This window comes from Homo sapiens, chromosome 9 (genome assembly GCF_000001405.40).
Source record: "Homo sapiens chromosome 9, GRCh38.p14 Primary Assembly".
Taxonomy (NCBI): domain Eukaryota; kingdom Metazoa; phylum Chordata; class Mammalia; order Primates; family Hominidae; genus Homo; species Homo sapiens.
Genome location: NC_000009.12, coordinates 30,068,856 through 30,091,113, shown reverse-complemented (window position 1 = coordinate 30,091,113; position 22,258 = coordinate 30,068,856). Strand labels below are relative to the sequence as shown.

Below are 22,258 nucleotides of genomic sequence, written 5' to 3'. Positions count from 1 at the left end.
ATTCTCAGTGATGGGCCAGGCGTGGTGGCTCACGCCTGTAATCTCAGCACTTTCGGAGGCCGAGGCGGGTGGATCACGAGGTCAGGAGATCGAGACCATCCTGGCTAACACGGTGAAACCCCGTCTCTACTAAAAATACAAAAAAATTAGACAGACGTGGGGGTGGGCGCCTGTAGTCCCAGCTACTCTGGAGGCTGAGGCAGGAGAATGGCTTTAACCTGGGAGGCAGAGCTTGCAGTGAGCCGAGATGGCGCCGCTGCACTCCAGTCTGGGCGACAGAGCCAGACTCTGTCTCAATTAAAAAAAAAAAAAATCTCAGTTATAAAGAAATGAATGACATCAACAAAGCAAAAAATAAGGTATAAACAGAGTGCTCAGATATAGAAAAGGAACATGTTAAAGGAGAAAAAAAAAAAAGAAGAAACTAAAGAGAAATGCTCACTTTGGACTCATGTGGAAAGAGAATACTATAAAATAGATCCAGATCCCAGGACAAAAATATAAAGAGATAGATATATAAAGGAACATTTAAAAGAAATTTGTATTCACTAGGAGTAAATGAAAAATAGATTAGAAGATGAAGGAATAAATAGACAAGCAATATTTAGAAGATTCTAGATAATAAGTTTCTTTAATGGAAGAGGCACATAGGCCTTCATATTGAACGTCTGCAAGCAGTAATGAGAAAGATAAATACAAATGAAATTATAATAAAAGCAGTATAGAAAAACTGCAGGATATCAGTGTATTAGTTTTTTATTGTCTTGTAAAAAATTATCATAAACTTAGCAGCTTAAATAAACAAGCATTTATCAATAATCTAGAGAAGTGTGAATTTCTCTAGGTCAGAAGTCCAGCAGTGTGCGTGGGTTCTCTTCTCAGGACATCACAAGCCTGAAATCAAGGTGTTGGGTCAGGTGCAGTTCTCATCTGGAGGCTCCGGGGAAAAATCTGCTTCCAAAATCTTTCCTATTATTGGCAGAATTAAGTTACTAGGTTGTAGGGTTAAGATTGCTGTTTCCTTGCTATCAGCCAGGAGCCGTGCATAGCCGCCTGTGTTATTTGGCCCCATTTATTGAGTGACCTGAAAGGCTGCCAGTTCTGAATGGGATCCAGAACAGGAGAAAGCTCTGCAACAGGTCCAGGCTGCTGTGCAAGCTCCTCTGCCACTTGGGCCATATGATCCAGCAGATCCAATTGTGCTTGAGGCATCAGCGGCTGATAGGGATGTTGTTTGGAGTCTTAAGCAGGCTCTTATAGGTGAATCACAGTGGGGGCCCCTAGGTTTTGGAGCAAGGCCATCGTCTGCCATCTTCTGCAGATAACTATTCTCCTTTTTGAGAGACGGCTCTTGCCCTGTTACTGGGCTTTGGTAGAAACTGAATGTTTGACTGTGGGTCATCAAGTCACCATGCGACCTGAACTGCCTATCATAAACTGGGTGTTTTCTGACTCATCTAGCCATAAAGTTGGGCATGCACAACAGCATTCCATTATCAAATGAAAGTGGTATATATGTGATCGGGCTTCAGCAGGTCCTGAAGGTACAATTAAGTTACATGAGGAAGTGGCTTAAAAATGCCCGTGGTCTCCACTCCTGCCAAACTTTGCTTAGAAGAAGAAATGACAAGATGTGTGATTATATACCTATTCATGGGCTGTAGGCAATGGTTTGGTTGGATGGTCATGGACTTGGAAGAAGCATCATTGGAAAATTGGTGACAAAGAAATCTGGGGAAGAGGTATGTGGACGGACCTCTCTGAGTGGTCAAAAACTGTGAAGATATTTGTATCCCATGTGAATGCTCAGTGACCTCAGCAGAGGATGATTTTAATAATCAAGTGGATAGGTTGATGCATTGTGTGGGCACTAATTAGCCTCTTTCTCTAGCCACCTCATTATTGCCCAATGGGCCCATGAACAAAGTAGCTATGGTGGAAGGGATGGGGATTATACATGGGTTCAGCCACGATTTTCACTCATCAGGACTGACCTAGCTACAGGCACTACTGAGTACTCAGTTTGCCAGCAGCAGAGACCAACACTGAGCCCTCGATAGGGCACCATTCCTCGGGGTGATCAGCCAGCTACTTGGTGGCAGGTTGATTACATTGGACCTCTTCCATCAGGAAAAGGGCAGTGGTTCATCCTCACTGGAATAGACACTTACTGTGGATATGGGTTTGCCTATCCTGCACACAATGCTTCTGCCAAGACTATCATCTGTGGACTCCTGAAATACCTTATTCACCATCATGGTATTCCACATAGACTTGCCTATGACCAAGGCACTCACTTTATGGCTAAAGAAGTGTGACAGTGGGCTCATCCTGATGGAATTCACTGGTCTTGTCATGTTCCCCATCATCCTGAGGCAGCTGGATTGATAGAACGGTGGAATGGACTTTTGAAGTCACAATTACAATGCCAACTAGGTGACAATACTATGCAGGGCTGGGGCAAAGTTCTTCAGAAGGCTGTGTATGCCGTGAATCAGCATTCAATGTATGGTACTGTTTCTCCCATCACCAGGATTCACAGGTCCCAGAATCAAAAGGTGGAAGTGGACATGGCACCACTCACCATCACCCCTAGTGATCCACTAGCAAAATTTTTGCTTCGTGTTCCTCCGACATTACATTCTGCTGGCCTAGAGATCTCATTTCCAGAGGGAGGAACGCTGACACCAGGAGACACAACAACGATTCCATTAAACTGGAAGTTAAGGTTGCCACCTGGACACTTTGGGCTTCTCCTACCTCAAATCAACAGACTAAGAAGGGAGTTACAGTGTTGGCTGGGTAACTGACCCAGACTATCAAGATGAAATCAGTTTACTATTCACAATGGAGGTAAGGAAGAGTATGTGTGAAGTACAGAAGATCCCTTAGGACATCTCTTAGTATTAACATCCCCTGTGCTTAAGGTCAATGGGAAACTACAACAACCCAATCCAGGCTAGACTACAACTGGCCCAGATCCTTCAGGAATGAAGGTTTGGGTCACTCCACCAGGTAAAAATTCATGACCTGCTTAGGAGCTTGCAGAAGGCAAAGGGAATACAGAATGGATAGTCAAAGAAGGCAGTGTCAATACCAGCTACGACCGTGTGACCAGTTGCAGAAAGGACGACTGTAATTGTCTTGTGTATATCTTCCCTATTTTGTTAAAAACATGTTTGTGCATGTATACACTTTTATTAGAAAATATCTTCATTTTATTTTCTTTCTTTTTCCTTTATCATGTGACATAGGTTTACTGACATCATATCAGCATTTAAGTGTTAACGTTATGTAATAGCATTTAGGTTAAGGATTGGTGCACTTCTGGTTGTATGAAAGATAGCTGTATTATGTTAGGCATAATTATGATCTTGTTATTGTCTTTATTTGAAGATTTTGTATGATTTCAGGAGATGTGTTGGGTTCAAGTTGACAAGGGGTGGATTTGTGATGGTTAATACTGAGTGTCAATTTGATTGAATTAATGGATGCAAAGTTTTGTTCCTGGGTGTGTCTGTGAGGGTGTTGCCAAAGGAGATTTGGCATTTGAGTCAGTGGAGTGGGAGAGGAAGACCCACCCTCAATCTGGGTAGGCACCATCTAATCAGTTGCCATTGCAGCTAAAATAGAGCAGGCAGAAGAAAGTGGAAAGAGAAAACTTGCTGACTCCTCCAGCCTCCATTTTTCTCCCAGGCTGGATGCTTCCTGCTCTCGAACATCAGACTCCAAGTTCTTCGGCTTTTGGACTCTTGGACTTACACCAGTGGTTTGCCAGGGGCTCTCAGGCCTTTGGCCACAGACTGAAGGCTGTACTGTCAGCTTCCCTAGTATGGTGTTTTGGGACTTGGACTGGTTTCCTTGCTCCTCAGCTTGCAGATGGCCTATTGTGGGACTTTGTGATTGTGTGAGTCAATACTCCTTAATAAACTCATCTTCATATATACATCTACCCGATTAGTTCTGACCCTCTAGGGAACCCTGACTAATATACTTCCAAAGGTTATTCACACTCCTTGTCATATGTCCCTCTCCATCTTCCATTCAGCAATGGTGCATGAGATCCTTTCTGTGCTTTAAATTTCTTGACTTCTCTATTTCTGATTTGCAGATGCTTATTTAAAGGGCTTTCATAATTAGCTGAGGCACACCCAGTTAATTTCTGTATTTTAAGGTCAGTGGCTTTGTGACCTTAATTATATTTGTAATATCCCTTAACATCAATACCTAGATTTGTGTTTAACTGAGTAACTGGTAGAAGGTGTGTATATACCAAATGCTGGGAATATGAGGGACCATTCTACCTGCCACAATGAGACAAAATAATAAAAATCTTAAACTATATGTATGTACACACACACATACACAGAACTTACAAACAATGACAATTTGGTTGCTAGAAAACTTCTGAATAGTAGCTGTAAATGCCAGAATACATGAGTGTGAGGAAGTAAACCTGTTAATATAAATTTTATAGTAACTTTAATGTTTATTCCAATTCCAGGGCAAAAACAAATATTTCAGCCCTATAACAATTAATAAAAGACTTGGAGTTAACTGCAAATTTCATGAATTTCATGTGGCAATATTCCCTTCTCTAATTAACCTTAAATTTATATCACATTATAGATACACAGAAAAATTAAATACATTCTTTTTATATTTAAAAAGTAATTGAGTAAACATATCAAACTAAACACACACATCCACTTTTTTCTTCTTTTGAAACTAATACTAAAACAGCGGGTTATCTTTAAAGGCATTATCCCCCCCAAAAAATAACAGTGAAATGAGAAAATGGACAACAGTAGCATTGTGGAAGCTAGAAAGAAGATTGACTAAGAAGATCCATAAAATACAAATATTTAATTTGCAGAGGGGAAAACAAAGAACCACCTTAATCTGTATCACAGAAATCTCAAAACAAAAAGGACTTGGCAGCTGAAGGTCCTGACATCTAAGGGTAGGTGGCCAAAGGCTAGAATAAGAAAAGTTGCTGAATTACTGTTTTTAAAAATGTTAGAACTATAAGGGTCGGATTCTCTAGTAAAGGAGCCTGAGACAGAAATTCAGATGCTTTTGACTTAGTAAGCAATTAGAGTAGAATAGAAAAAGGAAAAAATTAGCACAAAACTGTGTTCTTAGGTAAAATGTTGCATGAAGTGCTTCACAGAGTAATACTGAGGCAAAGGCATTCATCTTTTTATCTATGTAAACAGTTATCCTAAGACACATTCAAAATTATTCAAAGGGATAATTCACTCTTGAAGAAACTTAAGCAGTAGAAGTTATTGGGCAGAAAAAGCTGTAAGAATGTTCCAGACAGAAGTAACAATATGTGCAAAAGAGTAAAGGTGAATATGTCTATGTGTGAATTTGGGAGACTGCTGCTATTACCCCAAAGATGTTATGACACAATATTAAATACAAATTGTAGTTCTTTTGGATAAATGTTTACTTTTAATTGCATTGGAGATAGTTCCATACTTAAATATTAGGTAAATGTAAAAAAAAATTAAAGGATTTATTATAAAACTTACTTTGCAATGATTACTCCTTAGACTCTAATTTTTGAAGATGATCTAGAAAGCTCATGAATGAAACACATACTGTTTTGCTTACTCTGCAATAGGGTTAAGTCTTAACTGGAAAAGAGCAGGAAAAAAATCTTAAAACATAGATATCTAAAGGTTATTTGAAGACCAATCTGGCATATAGAATATTCTTATTCTGCCATTTTCTGACTTCACTTTGGATTTTAATATCTTAGGAAGCTATTTTCCTCTTTAACACTGATTTTTATGGAAATCAAATGAAGCTTAGTTACCTCACCATGTACCAATTCCTCAGTGATATTTTTAACTTCTGATTATCTTATTAATGGTTGTAGTAGCCAGATTTTCCTAAAAATTCTTCAGTATAACTATGGGTAGGCATTTGTGCTAGCTTTGAACAAAACAAAACAGAACTTCCTATGTTCAATTTACAAAGGAAATTTTAATATTGTGTGACTAACTTCCAATTACAAAGCTGAACTCTAGATAAACAAGTTAAAATAATGACATTTTAAGGAATTTTCTTTCCATTTTTATTCTGTGTTTGTGTTTTATGTGTAAATTTATAAATATATCAGCATATTTTCTGAAAGCCCTAGCATTTATAATAATGGAAAATAGAGGTTACTTTAAAATTAGAATGATTTTAAATGTAAACACTACTCAGGACTTTGCACATAATTATGTGTATAGCAGGAACTATATTGATATTTGTAGTATCGTTGATCTATTAATAAACCCATCACAGTTTATCAATAGTTGTGCACCATGGTGCAATTGTACCAGTTAAGATGAGAATATGAATGAAAATTTCATGATGAGCTTAATGCTTTCATAAGAAGAAACACCAGAGAGCTTGCAGTCTCTCTCACTCCTTGTACTATGTGAGGAAAAAGTGAGAAGAGGGCCATCAGCAAGCCAGCAAGAGGGCCCTCACCAAAAACCAACCATGCTGACACTTTGATTGCAGACTTCTAGTCTCCCAAATTGTGAAAAAAGAAATTTCTGCTGTTTAAGGCACACAGTCTGTGGTATTTTGTAAGGGAAGGCCAAACTGACTAAGACAGCAATTTTCAATGACGCTCCCACAATTAGTGTATATTCTGACAACATACTCCTGAGAGCTATCCAAGGGCATTTACCCAACATTGCAATGGTTCAAAAATCAAGATCATATGCAGTCTTTTCTATTCAAGTATACTGAACTTCAAGTTCTCTCCACTTAACTTGTTTTTCCATGATGTGTTTATAAACAGAACATACTTTTCTTTGTAAAACACTTGATACATAAACCACAGGGAGATAAAAATATGTGTTTAGACAATGTAAAAAATATACTAGCTTACAGATTGACAAAAATGAAGTAGAATGTTTATCAACAGTATGAGGGTAATATAAGGAAAAACGAATATGTGTTAAGGTGCTGTGGAATGAATTCAATGAATATAGAGATAAAATCTTTTAATTTTATGGAATTCAATTATTTGAAATTTTATAACTATAAACTATCAAAATTTATTTTTAATAGCAAACCACCCTGAGCTGATACATCTGTCAAAAAAATCTTCACTTGCTAAACATCTCTCAAATATAACTCAGTAGGGCAAATCTTTCCAAATAGCTTGTTTCTTTAACAAGCTACTAATGCAAGGTAAAATGTTACTGTACTTACAATTTCAAATAAAGTTGCAATTTTAATTTTAAATTTAGGATAAAGCATTAATAAAAATTATTTGACTAGAAACATTAAAGAATCTGGATTTTAAAAATGACATTGTCGAGCATTTCTTAATATTATAAATTGTTTTGATGCCATTCTGCCACTTCCTGCCACATATATACATGTGTTTATTTTGTTTGTGTGTGTATGTGTTTGTGTGTATATATGTGGCATATATGTGTACACACCTTGTAGGTCAGGAAATAGAATAATCTCAACAACTGCAGAAGGCTGTCTTGTGCACCTTTATTCCACTTAGAAGTATGCACTAATCTGTCTCCTATTATCATCAATTACTTTTGCCTTTTTTAAACTTCATATAAATGGAATTAGACATCATATACCCTTTTATAGCTATATTCCTTTATTTATCATTATAAATGTAACATCTTCTATGTCATGTGAATCTGTGCTTTTTCTTTTTTGTTGCTGAGTAATATTCTATTGTGTGAATATACTACAATCTGTTTTTCCATTCTTGTGTTGACTGAAGTTTGATTATTTCCAGATTTTGGCAATTACCAATGGAATTGCTATGAATACTCTTACCTTTCTCTTAGGTATATATTTAGGAGCATGACTGCTACATCACAGGCAGGTATATGTTTTGCTTGAATGGTTCGGAGTTTGGATCAATTTACAATCTCACATTATGAGAGCAAACTATGTCTCCAGCTAAATCTCACTCAGAGTGAGGTTTTCACATATATTTTATTATCTCTAAAATTGCAAAAACCTCCCAAGTATTTTCCTACTAATTATAAAAGTTACACAAAATCAAATACATTTATATTAGGTAGAAGGAGGGACTAATGACATAAAGTGTTTTTTTTTTCTTAATAAGCAGCTTCCTATTCTGCCTTCACCCATTGAGTTGTGCTGTCTCTGATTTAAAATTGTGCTTTCAGATATCAAAGGATTCTAGGCCAAGCCTTTAAAAAAAATCTAAACTCTAGATTTTATAAAGAATTTATTACAGAATGCCGATTCTTTAATTTTTCCAACCATAAACGTATTTACAGGGGGCTTTCACTTTGTCCAAATTTGGAAGACTATTTTTGTAATTGAGATAAAATCTACAATGTTAACAAATGACCATGTTATACTGTTACTGGTGGTCATTTATATAAAATACTCCATTTTATTTGAGCTCATGTTCGTTCAATTTCAGTATTATATTTCTGAATGAGAAAAGTACAATTCAAGGTGTTTAGGTTAAGGACTGCTGAACATCTTCTAATTCACAAACCTCCCACTCAGAGAGTTTCCAGGAGAAACAAGAACAAAATATTTGTTTTACTGTTTTCTATTTCACAATACAGTAAAAGAACTACTTTTTCTTACTCTGTAACAGAATGCTGACTCTTATTCTATTTCATATGAGGTAGTCAGTAAAATAAATGCTTTATCATTTTATTGTTTTCAATAAATAATATCTGCTACTTCAAAATGTATATGACTTTAGGTTTCAAAGTTTTTATTAGATTTATCATATTTTAAAATAAGGTTTAGTAATTTTGTACTCCTGGACATAGTAATTTCATGCTCTTCTATCTATGATAATGTGGTAATTTTTCACTATACTAGAAAATCATACGGAGGTTGAAGTGCATAGTTTGCAATAGAAGGTAGGTGTACTTAAAATTAAAAAAAAGTTACAAATAAATTCACAAGGCTTTAATATTGAGGAATAAATAATATACTTTAAAATAGAATTTTATGGTAATGAAAGGATTAATGTCATCACAATACACAGATTTATTTGCACTTAAACAAGCCCCTTAAGATCAGTTTGAAGTCTTCAAATTCGGAATGTTTCCTGGAAAAGCACAAATTAATACCTGTGGAGAAACAAAGAATAGTTGCCTTGATCTGTCACAGTATTAAGTTTATCATATTATGATACATACATATATTAGAATGTATCATATTGGGAAAAATCTAAAACAGATGTAAGAAATATTAAACAGACCCAATGTTTATGTCTCCCTGATACTAATATTCAGGTAAGATGGAGAAAAACCCCAGTAGAAGGTCCATTTATTTTCTACAGAAGATTTCTTCAAATTCTTCAGGCTTGTATCTGCCTCTAGCAGATGTTTTTTCCCTGATCTGTTTTTCAGAATATTCCTTTATCTCTGGGAAAACATAACAAGGGAAACAACCCATTTTCTTGATTTATAATACAAGCCAACAAAATCTTTCAAAATACACATGCATCTTTTGCATAAATAGCATGATTTATTTAAAAGCGATTCGGAGATGAATTTCTGGTTATATTACAACACTGTAAGTGATTTTAAAATAATACTGGATATTTGTGCTCTCAGTTTCGTTGGCCATTCTACCAGTTTGCTCAGCTATCCTGTTTCTCTTCTTTCTGCCTAGTGAAATTATATGTATGATTATATGATGGTCCTATTCTTTCTTATCCTTAGTCTTAATCCCACACATCTTCAAATTACATATATATGTATATACATATACATTTCATGTAAATAAAATATATATGTACATTTGTCTACTACCCATGATTTATCCATGATATATGCCACCAGATCATGATATGATAGCCAGGTATTTTATATATATATATATATATATATATATATATATATATATATATATATATACACACATACACATACACACACACATACATATATATGTATGTATATATACACATATATATATATATATATATTTTTTTTTTGACAGGGTCTTTGTCACCCTGGTTGGAGTGCAGTGCCTCCGCCATTGCTCATTGCAGCCTCAAACTCCTGGGCTCAAGTAAGCCTTCTACTTTACCCTCCTCAGTAGCTGAGACTACAGGCACAGGCCATCATGCCCAGATAATTTTTTTTTAAGAGAGAGAGTCTCACCATGTGAGACTCTCATGGTGGACTTTAAGCCCAGGCTGGTCTTCAAGTCCTGACCTCAAGTGATCCTCCCACTTTGGACTCCCAAAGTGCTGGTATTTTGTGAGCCACTTGGTGGATCATGATGTAAGCCACAATGCCTTTCCCCAAAATAATATTTTCTTACACTGTTAGAATTTAATTTCCTTTTTTTTCTTTTTTTTTTTTTGAAAGAGAGTCTCACTCTGGTACCCAGACTGGAGTGCAGTGGCCAGATCAAAGCTCACTGCAGCCTCAAACTCCAGGGCTCAAGTGATCCTCCAGCATCAGCCTCCTAAGTAGCTGGGACTACAAGTATGTGCACCACTCTCCTAGTATTTTTTTAATTTTTTCTTTCAAATTTTTGTAGAAATAGGGTCTCACTTGCTTTGTTGCCCAGGCTTGTCTCAAATTCCTGGCTTTAAGCAGTCCTCCTACCTCAGCCTCCCAAAATGTTGGGATTACAGGCATGAACCACCAAGCCCAGCCTATTTCTTGAAACACTGGAAAATTTAAAGTTGAGGTAACGTTTAAGTTCAGAAAATTCAAAAAATAATAAAGCAAAGAAAAAAATGTGAGAGGGTAGCAAAGGTAAACTAAAGAGAAAAGAAAAATGTATAAAATTACAAGAGAAGAATAATAATGCAGAGCAGAAAATAGTATGTTGAGTAAGAGAGTAAGAATAAAATATTTTAAAAATATATTACCTCTTACCATTATATTATATTCCATTGCATTGCATTGTGTATACACACATATATCTGTATATCTATATAATATGAATATGTGTGCATATATAGTGTATTACAAAATATTTTGTAAACATTTTACAGTTTTTTTTAACTCAGTAACACTTTACTCATTTCAAAAGTAGGTGTTTGAAATGAAGTATATGAATTTTCCTCCTATTGAATATCTTGATTTAGACTAAGATACTTGAGCACATTGGGACAATCAGCTGCACAGGAGGAGGTGTGGACAGAGAGTTTTGAAGCTCAATGGCATGGGGCAGAGTGAGCTGAAGGTGAGTTCCAGCAGGCCCGAGTTCAAATCCTACACAACCACAAGATGGTTGAGTGTGCCAGCAATGACCAGCCCCTCAAGACCTCTTTTCCCACATTGGCTCCTCTGAGGGGCAGAGTAAATGCACTAAAGTTCCCAGAGCAGGGCCTGGCTTGCAAGTTTCTGGTAATAGGGGTTTCATTTACTGTTGCAACCATCTTTTATCATGATGGGAAGGGGCAGGCAAATGGAGAATGGCACATTGCTAGCTGCTGGGATGCTGCAGGCACTACAGAAGTAAGGGACCACCACTCCTCCACTGGGCATGGTAGGGTCTGGTCCTCCTCTCGGCCCCACAGCCCCCACAGTGGCACTTACCACATGCCATTATCACTGTGTGCCACCCTATCTCCTTCACTCAAGTCCAAGCCTGAGGGTAGCAGGACTCTGAGCGTGGACATCACCATGATGGGCAAGGCCTAGCAGAGCATGGATTCTCAAACATTGCTGGATGACGGAATCTAGCCATGCTTCTAGAACACTCACTCTCGGCTAGGCTCAGGGCTAGACATTCCTGAGTTCAACTGGTGCCCAGGGTGTTTGAAGGCAAACAAACAAGCAGAAAACAACAGTCTGTGTTGAGGGCTGAGGGAGTGAGCCCAAGGGCTCCAGGATCCCAGCTTCAAGAAATAGGGACTCTGGGCAAGACATCTCAGAGGAGGTAAGGGCAAGTGACAGCAACCTGAGCCCGGTAATTAATTGGAAGTCCTAGCGACAACAGCAGCCACCATCTGCCAAGCACTTTCTCTGATCCTCACAGTAGCCCTATAAAGTGAGGACTTTATTGTTCTCATTGTACAGAAGAGGAAGCTGAGGCCCACTTGCCCAAGGTCACAGAGCTTGGAAGTGCCCTGAAGTGTGGCACCAGAGCTCCAGAGCAGGAGCATGTTGAGGGGAGGCTGGGGAGGCCAAGTGCTAAGGGTCTTGGTGGTTGGGCAAGGAACTTGGACTTAACCTTCATGTCTCCCTGCTCCTCATTTTAATACATTCATGGGCTCTCAAAGTTGTATGAAGCCTCAGAGGTTATCTCCCAGCATTGCTACTTCCCTGGAAGGGGACCCTATTAAGCAGCCTCCCAAGAACCAACATTGAGAGGCAGCCTACGTGGTCACTGAAAACTGAGGTTGAGTCACCTGGGCCTTGCCAGTTGCATGATCTGAGGCGTGACAACTTACCAGGCCCAATTTCCTCACCTGTAAAATGGGAACTATGGTAAGTGCCTCTAGGTGGTTGGCACAGGATCTTCATTTATAGACCAGATCACCAGCTGGATGTTGTGGGCAGGACAGGGTTCTTATCATCTCCCCATTGCACAAAAGGTAAGGTTGTGGCTCAAGGGGGAAATGCCTCCCCACTCCAGTCCTGCGCTAGCTCAGGGCAGACCTGGGACTTGCCTTCTGACCTTCCTCACCCTCTGTGACCTCCTACTGCACCTCTCTCTGTCCAGGAAGACAAAACTCTGCTGAACTCTTGTGAAGCAGGAAATTCACTGGCTTCACAAAGCCCTGCTGTGGTGGCAACACCACGCTCTTCCTGTCTCATTCTCTCAGTGCTGGTTTGACCAGAGCTGTGGTTCCTTCTTCCTGGGTTTCTGGTCTCACCTCCACTCCATCACATCCAACACCTGCCCAACCCACTCTGTTTTTACTTCTCTAAGCTAGGGACAGTTTTCTTGCAAAGGTTCTCTCCTCCCTTTTATTACTTCTCAGCATCCTCCCCAGGCTTCTCTCTGTCCTTCTCCCATGTCGACCACCCCATGTCCATTAGCCTGAAAAAGCCTTGGCCCTGGGAGAAGACAGAGGCAGGAGCACTGAATTCGAAGTTGGTGTATCAGGCACTCTTCCTGGCTCCGCTCTGCCTGGTCTGATCAGGCTATGTCATCTGACATTTATAGGCTTCATTGTCCCCATCTATAAGAAGAGGAGCCCTGGTAACATAGTGAGACCCCATCTTTACTTTTTTCTTTCTTTCTTTCTTTCTTTTTTTTTTTTTTTTTACTATAAGCTGGGCAGGCATGGTGGCAGGCACTTGCAGTCCCAGATATTTGGGGAAGGTTGAGGCAGGAGGGTCACTTGAGCCAAGGAAATTGAGGCCATGGTGAGCTATGATCATGCCAGTGCACTCCAGCCTGAGAGACAGAGGGAGGCCCTGTCTCAAAACAACAACAACAACAACAGAGAGGTGGAGGAAAATAATGTCTTGGAAAAAAAAAGATACTTGAGTAGAGTAGTGTGATGGTTATTATTAGGTGTCAACTTGATTGGATTGAAAGATGCCTAGGTAGCTGATTAAAGTATTGTTTTTGGGTCTCTGTGAGGGTGTTGCCAGAGGAGATTAGCATTTGAGTTAGCACACTAGGAGAGAAAGACCCACCCTCAATGTGGATGGGCACCATCCAGTTGGCTGCCAGTGTGGCTAGAACAAAGCAGGCGGAAGATGGTGAAATAAGCTGGCTTGGTGAGTATTCTGGCTTTTATCTTTCTCCCTTGCTGGATGGTTCCATCTGTTCCTCTTGACCTTGGACATCAAACTCCAGGTTCTTCAGCCTTTGGACTCTGGGACTTATGCCAGTGGTTTTGCCGGGAGCTCTTGGGCCTTCAGCTACAGACTGCAGGGTGCACTGTCAGCTTCCCCACTTTTGAGGCTTTTGAACTCAGACTGAGACATTACTGCCTTCTCTCTTCCTCAGTTTGCAGACAGCCTATCATGGGACTTCACCTTGTGATAGTGTGGACGAAAAGAGTCCAACTCTGTAACATATTTGAAGAGATTTATTGTGAGCCAAATATGAGTGACCATGGCCGGTGACACAACCCTCAGGAGGTCCTGAGAACATATGTCCAAGGTGGTCGGGGCACAGCTTAGTTTTACCCATTTTAGACAGGCAGGAGACATCAATCAAATACATTTAAGGAATACCATTGGTTTAGTCCAGAAAGGCAGTATAACTCAAAGCAGGGGGGCGGTGGAGGGGGGTGCGGGGAGGTGTGGGGAGGTGGGGATGGGGTGGGTGGGCTTCCAGGCTATAGGTGAATTTAAACATTTTCTGGTTGACAATTAGTTGCATTTGTCTAAAGACCTGGGATTCATAGAAAGGGAATATTCAGGTTAAGATAAAGATTGTGGAGTCCAAAGTTCTTGTGAAGTCGTACAGTGGCTGCCCTTAGAGACAATAAATGACAAATGTTTCCTATTCAGATCTTAGTTAATCTCTTTAGGATTGGGAGGGTCTGGAAGAAAAAGATCTAGGTATGTTAATAGAGATTCTTTACAGATGCAAAGTATACCCCACAAAGAACAGATGTGCAGGGTCATTTCAAAATATGGCTACGAAACAGGTTTTGGTGTAAAATATTTTGATTTTCTTCCTTGTCTCATAATGTTATGCTAGAATCAGGTTGGAAAATAAGTCATGATATACAGGGTTAAATAAAACCCTTCTGATGAGAATTTATGATTTGTAGCACATGACTCCCCAGACCCCTTAAATAGGAATTTGTGCAAGATTTAAAAAAAATCAGAGTTTAGTCCTCAATAGTGTGAGCCAATTCTCCTTAATAAACTGTCTTTCATATACACACGTATCCTATTAGTTCTGTCCCTCTGGAGGATCCTTATACAAGTAGTTTAAATCAAAAAGGGCAATTATATTTTCTTTATTAATTAAAAAGTAATAGCCAGTTTTTTCCAACTTGTTTGAAGCCTTACAAAGCATTGTTTAAAGAGTTAACATAAAAAACCAGCCGAGCTCATAGAATTGAAGTGATAAGCTGAACAAAAATGAATTAAGACACTGCTTTTGATATACAGGTAATAGAAAAATGGAGCAATGAGACTAAGAAAACCTGTGGACATTTGTCTGAAATAAGAGAAAACATTTCACAGTTCAGAGACTTAACAGTGTTGGTAATAAACACAATTGAGCAATTGTACAAGTAACACAATCTTGTTACAATGTGTATCAAACGTCTACTGAGAAATATTGTTTATTTTCTTCCAAGTGGATGCACCAATTGATAGTTTTTATTTGGGAATGAGGGACTAAGTGGCTAAGTTGGCTGGATTTCCTGGGTCAATAGGGACTTCCCTAAGGGGACTTTCCCCTAAGCCAAAATGAGTCATAGTTGCAAGCTAAGAGATTGAAACTTCAACTAATCAAAGAGGATTCTCACCTAAGCCAAAATGAGTCACAACTGCAAGGTAAGGGATTGAAACTTCAACCAATCAAGGGGCACTTTCCGCTAAGCCAAAATGAGTCACAGCTGCAAGGTAAGGTATTGAAACTTCAACCAATCAAGGGGCACTTTCTGCTAAGCCAAAATGAGTCACAGCTGCAAGCCAAGGGATGGAAACTTCAACCAATCAAGGGGCACTTTCCACTAAGCCAAAATGAGTCACAGCTGCAAGCCAAGGGATGGACACTTCAACCAATCATATAGGAAGTTTAAGCTCTAGCTGCAGCCTGATGTTTTTAACCAAACAGGCCCGCCAACCCACAAGCAGATAGAAAATAAGCTAATTCTATAGGACAGAAAAAGGAAAAGGGGAGGGGTCATAAGGAGATATAAGCATAAGATACCCAAGCCAAAAATGGCAACCCTTCCGGGTCCCCTTCCACCGCCCGGAAGCTTTACTTTCGCTTTCACTTTTGCTTTAATTATGCCGCCCCACGCTCTTTGGGTCCGCACGTTTCTCTAATCGAGCTGTAACACTCGCCACTGTGGTCCACGGCTTCATTTCTTGAAGCCCGTGGGACCACGAACCCTTCGATTGAGAAAAGACCTTCCATCAGGAAAAGACTTCTTGTCTCAGCAAGTTGTCTACTGATGAATGTTGTACTTTTTATAAACAAAAATTGCATTAAGGAAAAAATAAAACTATGTATTTATACATAAATAACTGTTTTGACCATCAAAAATTATTTTGATAAAACTTTCATTGAAAATTTTTTAACCATACACTATGATATAGAGATAACATGGTGTGTTTTTGATACCCAGTTAAGTCTAATATTCTGATATTCACCTAAATTTTGTTTTTGCAAATAAGAGAAAGAAGTAATTGATTTCTAGTGTCTTTATCTTTTACGAAATCCCAACTTTCTTCTAAAACGCATTATCTCTCTCTGTCTCTCTCCCTGTTCTCAGAATATAAACATGGCCCTTGAAACTGTGGCTAGAACAGTATCTCCGACATGTTACCTACCTAAGAGAAAATATACTTTTAATAGCACATTGACATTTGGTCATTGTGATGGTTCATATTGAGTGTCAACTCAGTTAGATTGAAGGATGCAAATTATTGTTCCTGGCTGTGTCTTTGAGGTTGTTGCCAAAGGAGCTTAACAGCTGAGTCAGTGAACTGGGAAAGGCAGACCCAGCCTTAATCTGTTTGGGCACAATCTAAATCAGCTGCCAGTGCAGCCAGACTAAAAGCAGGCAGAAGAACGTGAAAAGACTACTCTGGCTTAGTCTCCGGGCCTACATCTTCCTCCTGTGCTGGATGCTTCCGCCCTTGAACATCAGACTCCAAGTTTTCAGCTTTGGGACTCTTGGACCTTCGACCATAGACTGCAGGCTGCACTATCGGCTTCCCTACTTTTCAAGTTTTGGGACTCAGACTGGCTTCCTTGCTCCTCAGCTTGCAAATGGCCTATTCTGGGATCTCACTTTGTGATCATGTGAGTCAATACTCCTTAATAAACTCCCCTTTATGTATATACATCTATCCTGTTAGTTCTGTCCCTTTAGAGAACCCTAATACAGTAGTAGATGAGTAATTGTGTTTTGTGATAACCTAGCAGTTAGCATGGAACCACTCAGTCATCTGTGAAGTGTTTATTTGCTATGTCATGTCAACAATGTATATATTTTTCTACCTGTGGACAAAAGTCAAAACTCTGGCAATATCATTTTGTAGTTTCTATAGAAATATGCCATTTTCTATTTTTAAGATTCTTAGGATTCCCCAGAAGCTGTTTGTAAGCAGGCAGCAATATTAACAGACAGTAGTCAGACCATCAGTTAGTCTGTTCTAAAATATACGTGTGAAATGGATTCAGCTATTAACTTTGTCACAACAAAGCACTTAAGAGTTTTAAATAGGTCAGCAAAGCATCTCTAGAATATTTAAAACGTATTCTGAAGATACTTCGCCTGGTTCTCCTGGCACACATCCTCTGGGACATAACACGTTAAAGAATTACAATGATAAATTGACTTTTAGTAATATCATGTGTGTGCTTACAGTTAACCATGCACTACATGTATGATTTAATCCTTTATTTTTTTTTCAGAATGGCCTCTTTACCTTGGTGAATTCTATAGAAGTCTATAGACTTCTATCTGTAGTGACTTCAGGAATAATGACCTGCTTACTAATGACCTGCTTGTTACATGTATGAGTTAAAACCGCATCAAAGGTGTGGAGATGCTTAATTTGGAATTTCTATCTAAGCAAATAATTATTTGCCTGGCGAGGTGGTTTCAAGTCATTTTACCTGTAAAGCAAAAGGAGTTTCTGGAAGCTCTAACTACAATCTAGATTTAGTCTTAATGTGAAACAGTAAGACAATCACATTTAAGTAATCTTATCTCCTTAGTTTCATCTTGAATGTGATATTTTCTCAGACGCCTTGTTTTTAATGATGTTGAAAATTTTGGGGAGTACTGGTGAGATGTGTTATAGAATGTCCCTCAGTCAGGTTCTGTTTGATACTTTTCTGATGATTAGGCAAGGGTTATATTCTGGGCGGGAGGAAGGACAGAGAAGTAAAGTTCCACTTCTAACACGTCATATTCATAATACATTCTGTTGATGTAACTTAAATCACTTGGTTGAGGCAGTGTTTTCCAAGTTTCTCCGCTTTGAAGTTACTTTTTGCATCTTCCATACTGTACTCTGGAATAAGGTGGAATAAATGTGGCTATGTACAGCTCACATTTAAGGAGTGGAGAATTATGCCAAACATTTGAGAGTGATGCTTAGCTACATAAAATATTTGAAATTCTTCTGCAAAGAGAATTTTTCTACTTTCCCTCATTTATATATTTATTCAACTATTAATGTCCATATGATATTACAAACATTTTATACCTTGACTTATAATTTAATAATACTATATTTTATTGCCAAAATTATTTCAGTTTTGTCCATTGAGAGTCTTTCAGTTGGCTCCTGTGTCTCTTTTCCATATTTTAATCCTTGTGGATTTTCTTTGTAATTGTGGGTTTTTTTCTTTATTAACTTATTCTTTTATTGTTGTTTTTACTTTATGTTTTGCAACATTGTTATTCTTTGTTTATAGCTCACAAAATCATATTTCATAATAAAGTAACCTACTTTGATATATTTCCTTATTTTACCTTTTAGCTTTATTTTCTTTTAAAATTTTACTTATTGTGGTAAGAACATTTAAATTAGATCTGCCCTGCTAATAAATCTTTAAGTGTAGAATACAGTACAGTTAACTATGGAGACAGTGTTTTACAGCATACCTCTAAAACATATTCATTTTTTACAATTGAGACTTGAGGCCCACTAATTAATAATTCTCTATTTCCTCCTCCCCTCACACTCCAGCAAGCCACAGTTTACTTTCTTATTCTATGAGTTTGACTATTTTAGATATTTTGCATAAGTGTGATCATGCAGGATTTGTCTTTCTGTAACTTGCTTATTTCACTCAATGTGTCTTCAAAGTTTATCCATGTTGCTGCATAGTGTTAAGATATCCTTTTCTAAAGTTGAGTCATATTCCACTATATGTATGTACCATTTTCTTTATTCATTTATCCATCAATGCATGTTTAGGTTATTTCCATGTCTTGGCTATTGTGAATATTGTTTCCATGAACATAGTGTTGCCAATATTATTTTAGGATTATAATTTAAACTTTTTGGATAAATACCCTGAAGTGGAATTACTGAATCATATGGATGTTTTATTTCATAATTTTTTGGGGAATCTCCATACGGTTTTCCATAGTGGCTGCAATATTTTGTATTCCTGCCAACAACGAACAAAGGTTCCGTTTTTACACAACCTCACCAACACTTGTTGTCTTTTGGTTTTTTTGATGACAGCCATCCTAGCAGGTTTTAGGTGATACCTCATTATGGCTTTAATTTGTATTTCCCTGATGACTGGTGAAATTGACTGTAATTTCATATAGCTGTTCATATGTCTTCTTTGGAAAACATGTCTGCTCAAGTCTTTAGCCCATATTTTGACCAGGTTATTAGTTTATTTTGGAATTTAGTTGGAGGAGCTCCTTTTATATTTTGGAAATTAACCCCTTACCTGATATATGCTTTGCAAATATTTTCTCCCATTCATAAGTCTTCTCTTTACTCTGTGATTATTTCTTTTGTTGTGCAATAGCTGCTTAGTTTAGTGTACTTCTCTCTGTCTTTCTTTTATTGTTATGTTTTTGGTGTCATATCCATGAAATCATCTGCAAGACCAATATCAAGAAGGTTTTTTCATATTTTTTTCTTCCGGGAGTTTTAGTTTTAGGTCCTCAATCCATTTTAAATTGGTGGTGGTTATTGTTGTTTGACACAGAGTCTGGCTCTGTCACCCAGGCTGGAGTGCAGTGGCACGATCTCAGCTCACTGCAACCTCCGCCTCCCGGGTTCAAGCCATTCTCCTGCCTCAGCCTCCCGAGTAGCTGGGATTACAGGCACCCACCACCTCACCTGGCTATTTTTTTGTATTTTTAGTAGAGACAGGGTTTCACCATGTTGGCCGGTCTGGTTTCAAACTCCTGACCTCAGGTGATGAACCTGCCTTGGCCTCCCAAAATGCTGGGATTACAGGTGTAAGCCACCGTGCCAGGCTTAAGTTGATTTTTATGTAAGGTAAAACATTTTTATGTTAGGTAACATTTTATATAAGATAACATTTTTATGTTTAGGTAAGACTTAATTTCATTATTCTGTATGTGGATATCCAGTTTTCCCCACTGCCATTTGTTCAAGAGATTATCATTTTCTATTGTGTATTCTTGGCACTCATCAAAAATAGGTTGACATTATATATATGGATTGATTTCTATGCTCTGTCTTCTATTCCATTGCTCTATATGTCTGTTTCTATGCCAATTAAATATTGTTTTAGTTGCTATAACTTTTTAATACACTCTGAAATCAGGAAGTGTAATGCCTCCAGCATTTGTTCGAAAGATTATTTTGGCTATTCAGGGTCATTTGTGTTATAAATTTTAGTAATTTAAAAAATATATTTGTACAAATCTTAAGGAGTTCATCATTATGGAATTTTTGTGGAATGTCTATACATTCTGTCGGTACCAAATGTTCCATGCCCCTTTGTACATCTTCTGCCCCCTCCCTAGATTTGGCCATTTCTGCAAGGAGCTCTGATTCCTTTGAGCTACATTAGAAACCAAGATTTCAATGCTAGATATGCTTGCTTCTCCTGGGGAAGTCTTGCTTCTGCGTTTTCTCAGTGAAAGAGCAGGAAAGTATGAGTATATCTACTAAACCATGTATACACATATGCCTATGATTATTTCGATGTGTAAACGTATATATATATTTTTTTTTTCTTTTTTTTTTTTGCGATGGAGTTTCGCTCTTTTTGCCCAGGCTGGAGTGCAATAGTGTGATCTCAGCTCACTGCAACCTGCGCCTCCCAGGTTCAAACGATTCTCCTGCCTCAGCCTCCCAAGTAGTTGGGATTACAGGCATGCACCACCATGTCCTGCTAATTTTGTATTTTTAGTAGAGACGGGGTTTCTCCATGTTGGTCAGGCTGGTCTTCAACCCCTGACCTCAGGTGATCCACCTCCCCCCACCCGGCTTCCCAAAGTGTTGGGATTACAGGCGTGAGCCACAGAACATGTGAATCTTTATTAAGCTAAGCATGGGCTCATTTTGATGTCTCTAACTGTAGTTTATGACTACATAGATAATTCCAGCCTCTTGTCCTTGCTCATCTGTAACCTCACTCCGCAAAAGTAGGAACTTTTGTCCTCACCATCTTCCATTCAATTATTTGATTTTTCAATTTCATTACATATGTATACTGCATCAGAATTGTTAAGCGTACCCCATGAGAAAAAATACATATCAGTTAGAGTATAGGGCTATGTATTCTTTATTTTTGTTTTAGTCACAAAGTCCAGTCATTTTCAAAGTTACTAAATTCAGCAGCACCTTTTCTCCAAGTTTCTTCAATGATATCTACATTCTGTCCAGGGACTCCCCTAACATTTTAAAAAGAAAAAGTTGGCTGGGCACAGTGGCTTACGCCTGTGATCCCAGGACTTTGGGAGGCTGAGGCAGGTGGATTACCTGAGGTCAGGAGTTCAAAACCAGCCTGGCCAACATGATGAAACCACTTCTCTACTAAAAATACAAAAAAATTAGCAGGGTGTGGTGGCAGGTGCCTGTAATCTCAGCTACTCAGGAAGTTGAGGCAGAAGAATCGCTTGAACCTGGGAGGCAGAGGTTGCGGTAAGCCAAGTTCACACCACTGCACTCTAGTCTGGGCAACAAGAGCAAAACTCCATCTCAAAAAAAAAAAAAGGTGCATATATTAATATTCACTTTTTTGTGGTCCTAAGTTCTATAGTTTTTGACAAATGCCTAGTGTCATGCACTTACTATTACAGCATAATACAGAATAGTTTCATCACCCTAAAATATCCCCTGTACTTTGTCTATTCAAATTTTCTCCCTCTCCCAAATTCCTGGCAACCACTGATGTTTTGACTATCTCTATCTTTTTGCCTTTTTCAGACTTTCATATAAATTAAATAATACATTATGTAGTCTTTTCGGGATTATTTATTTTACTTAGAAATATGCTCATTCATCTAATTTTTATCACTGAAAAATATTCCATTGTAAGAATGCACATATATTAATTTCTCTATTCACCTATTGATGAATATCCATTTATTTCTAATTTTCATTGATTATGAATAAATTACATAGTTTTTTTGTACTTGCATACCTTTTCAAATAAGTTACATAAATATTTAGGAAGACAGTTGCTA

The 22,258-nt window shown here is 38.2% G+C and overlaps 1 annotated feature.

Moving 5' to 3' along the window:
- Window positions 14,859-16,058: an enhancer, noted in NCBI's record as "P300/CBP strongly-dependent group 1 enhancer chr9:30075054-30076253 (GRCh37/hg19 assembly coordinates)". NCBI's record gives its function as "activates an origin of replication core promoter dependent on BRD2, BRD4, P300/CBP, MED14 and CDK7 cofactors, with strong dependence on P300/CBP, by STARR-seq in HCT116 cells {active_cell/tissue: HCT116}" and the evidence as "EXISTENCE:reporter gene assay evidence [ECO:0000049][PMID:35650434]".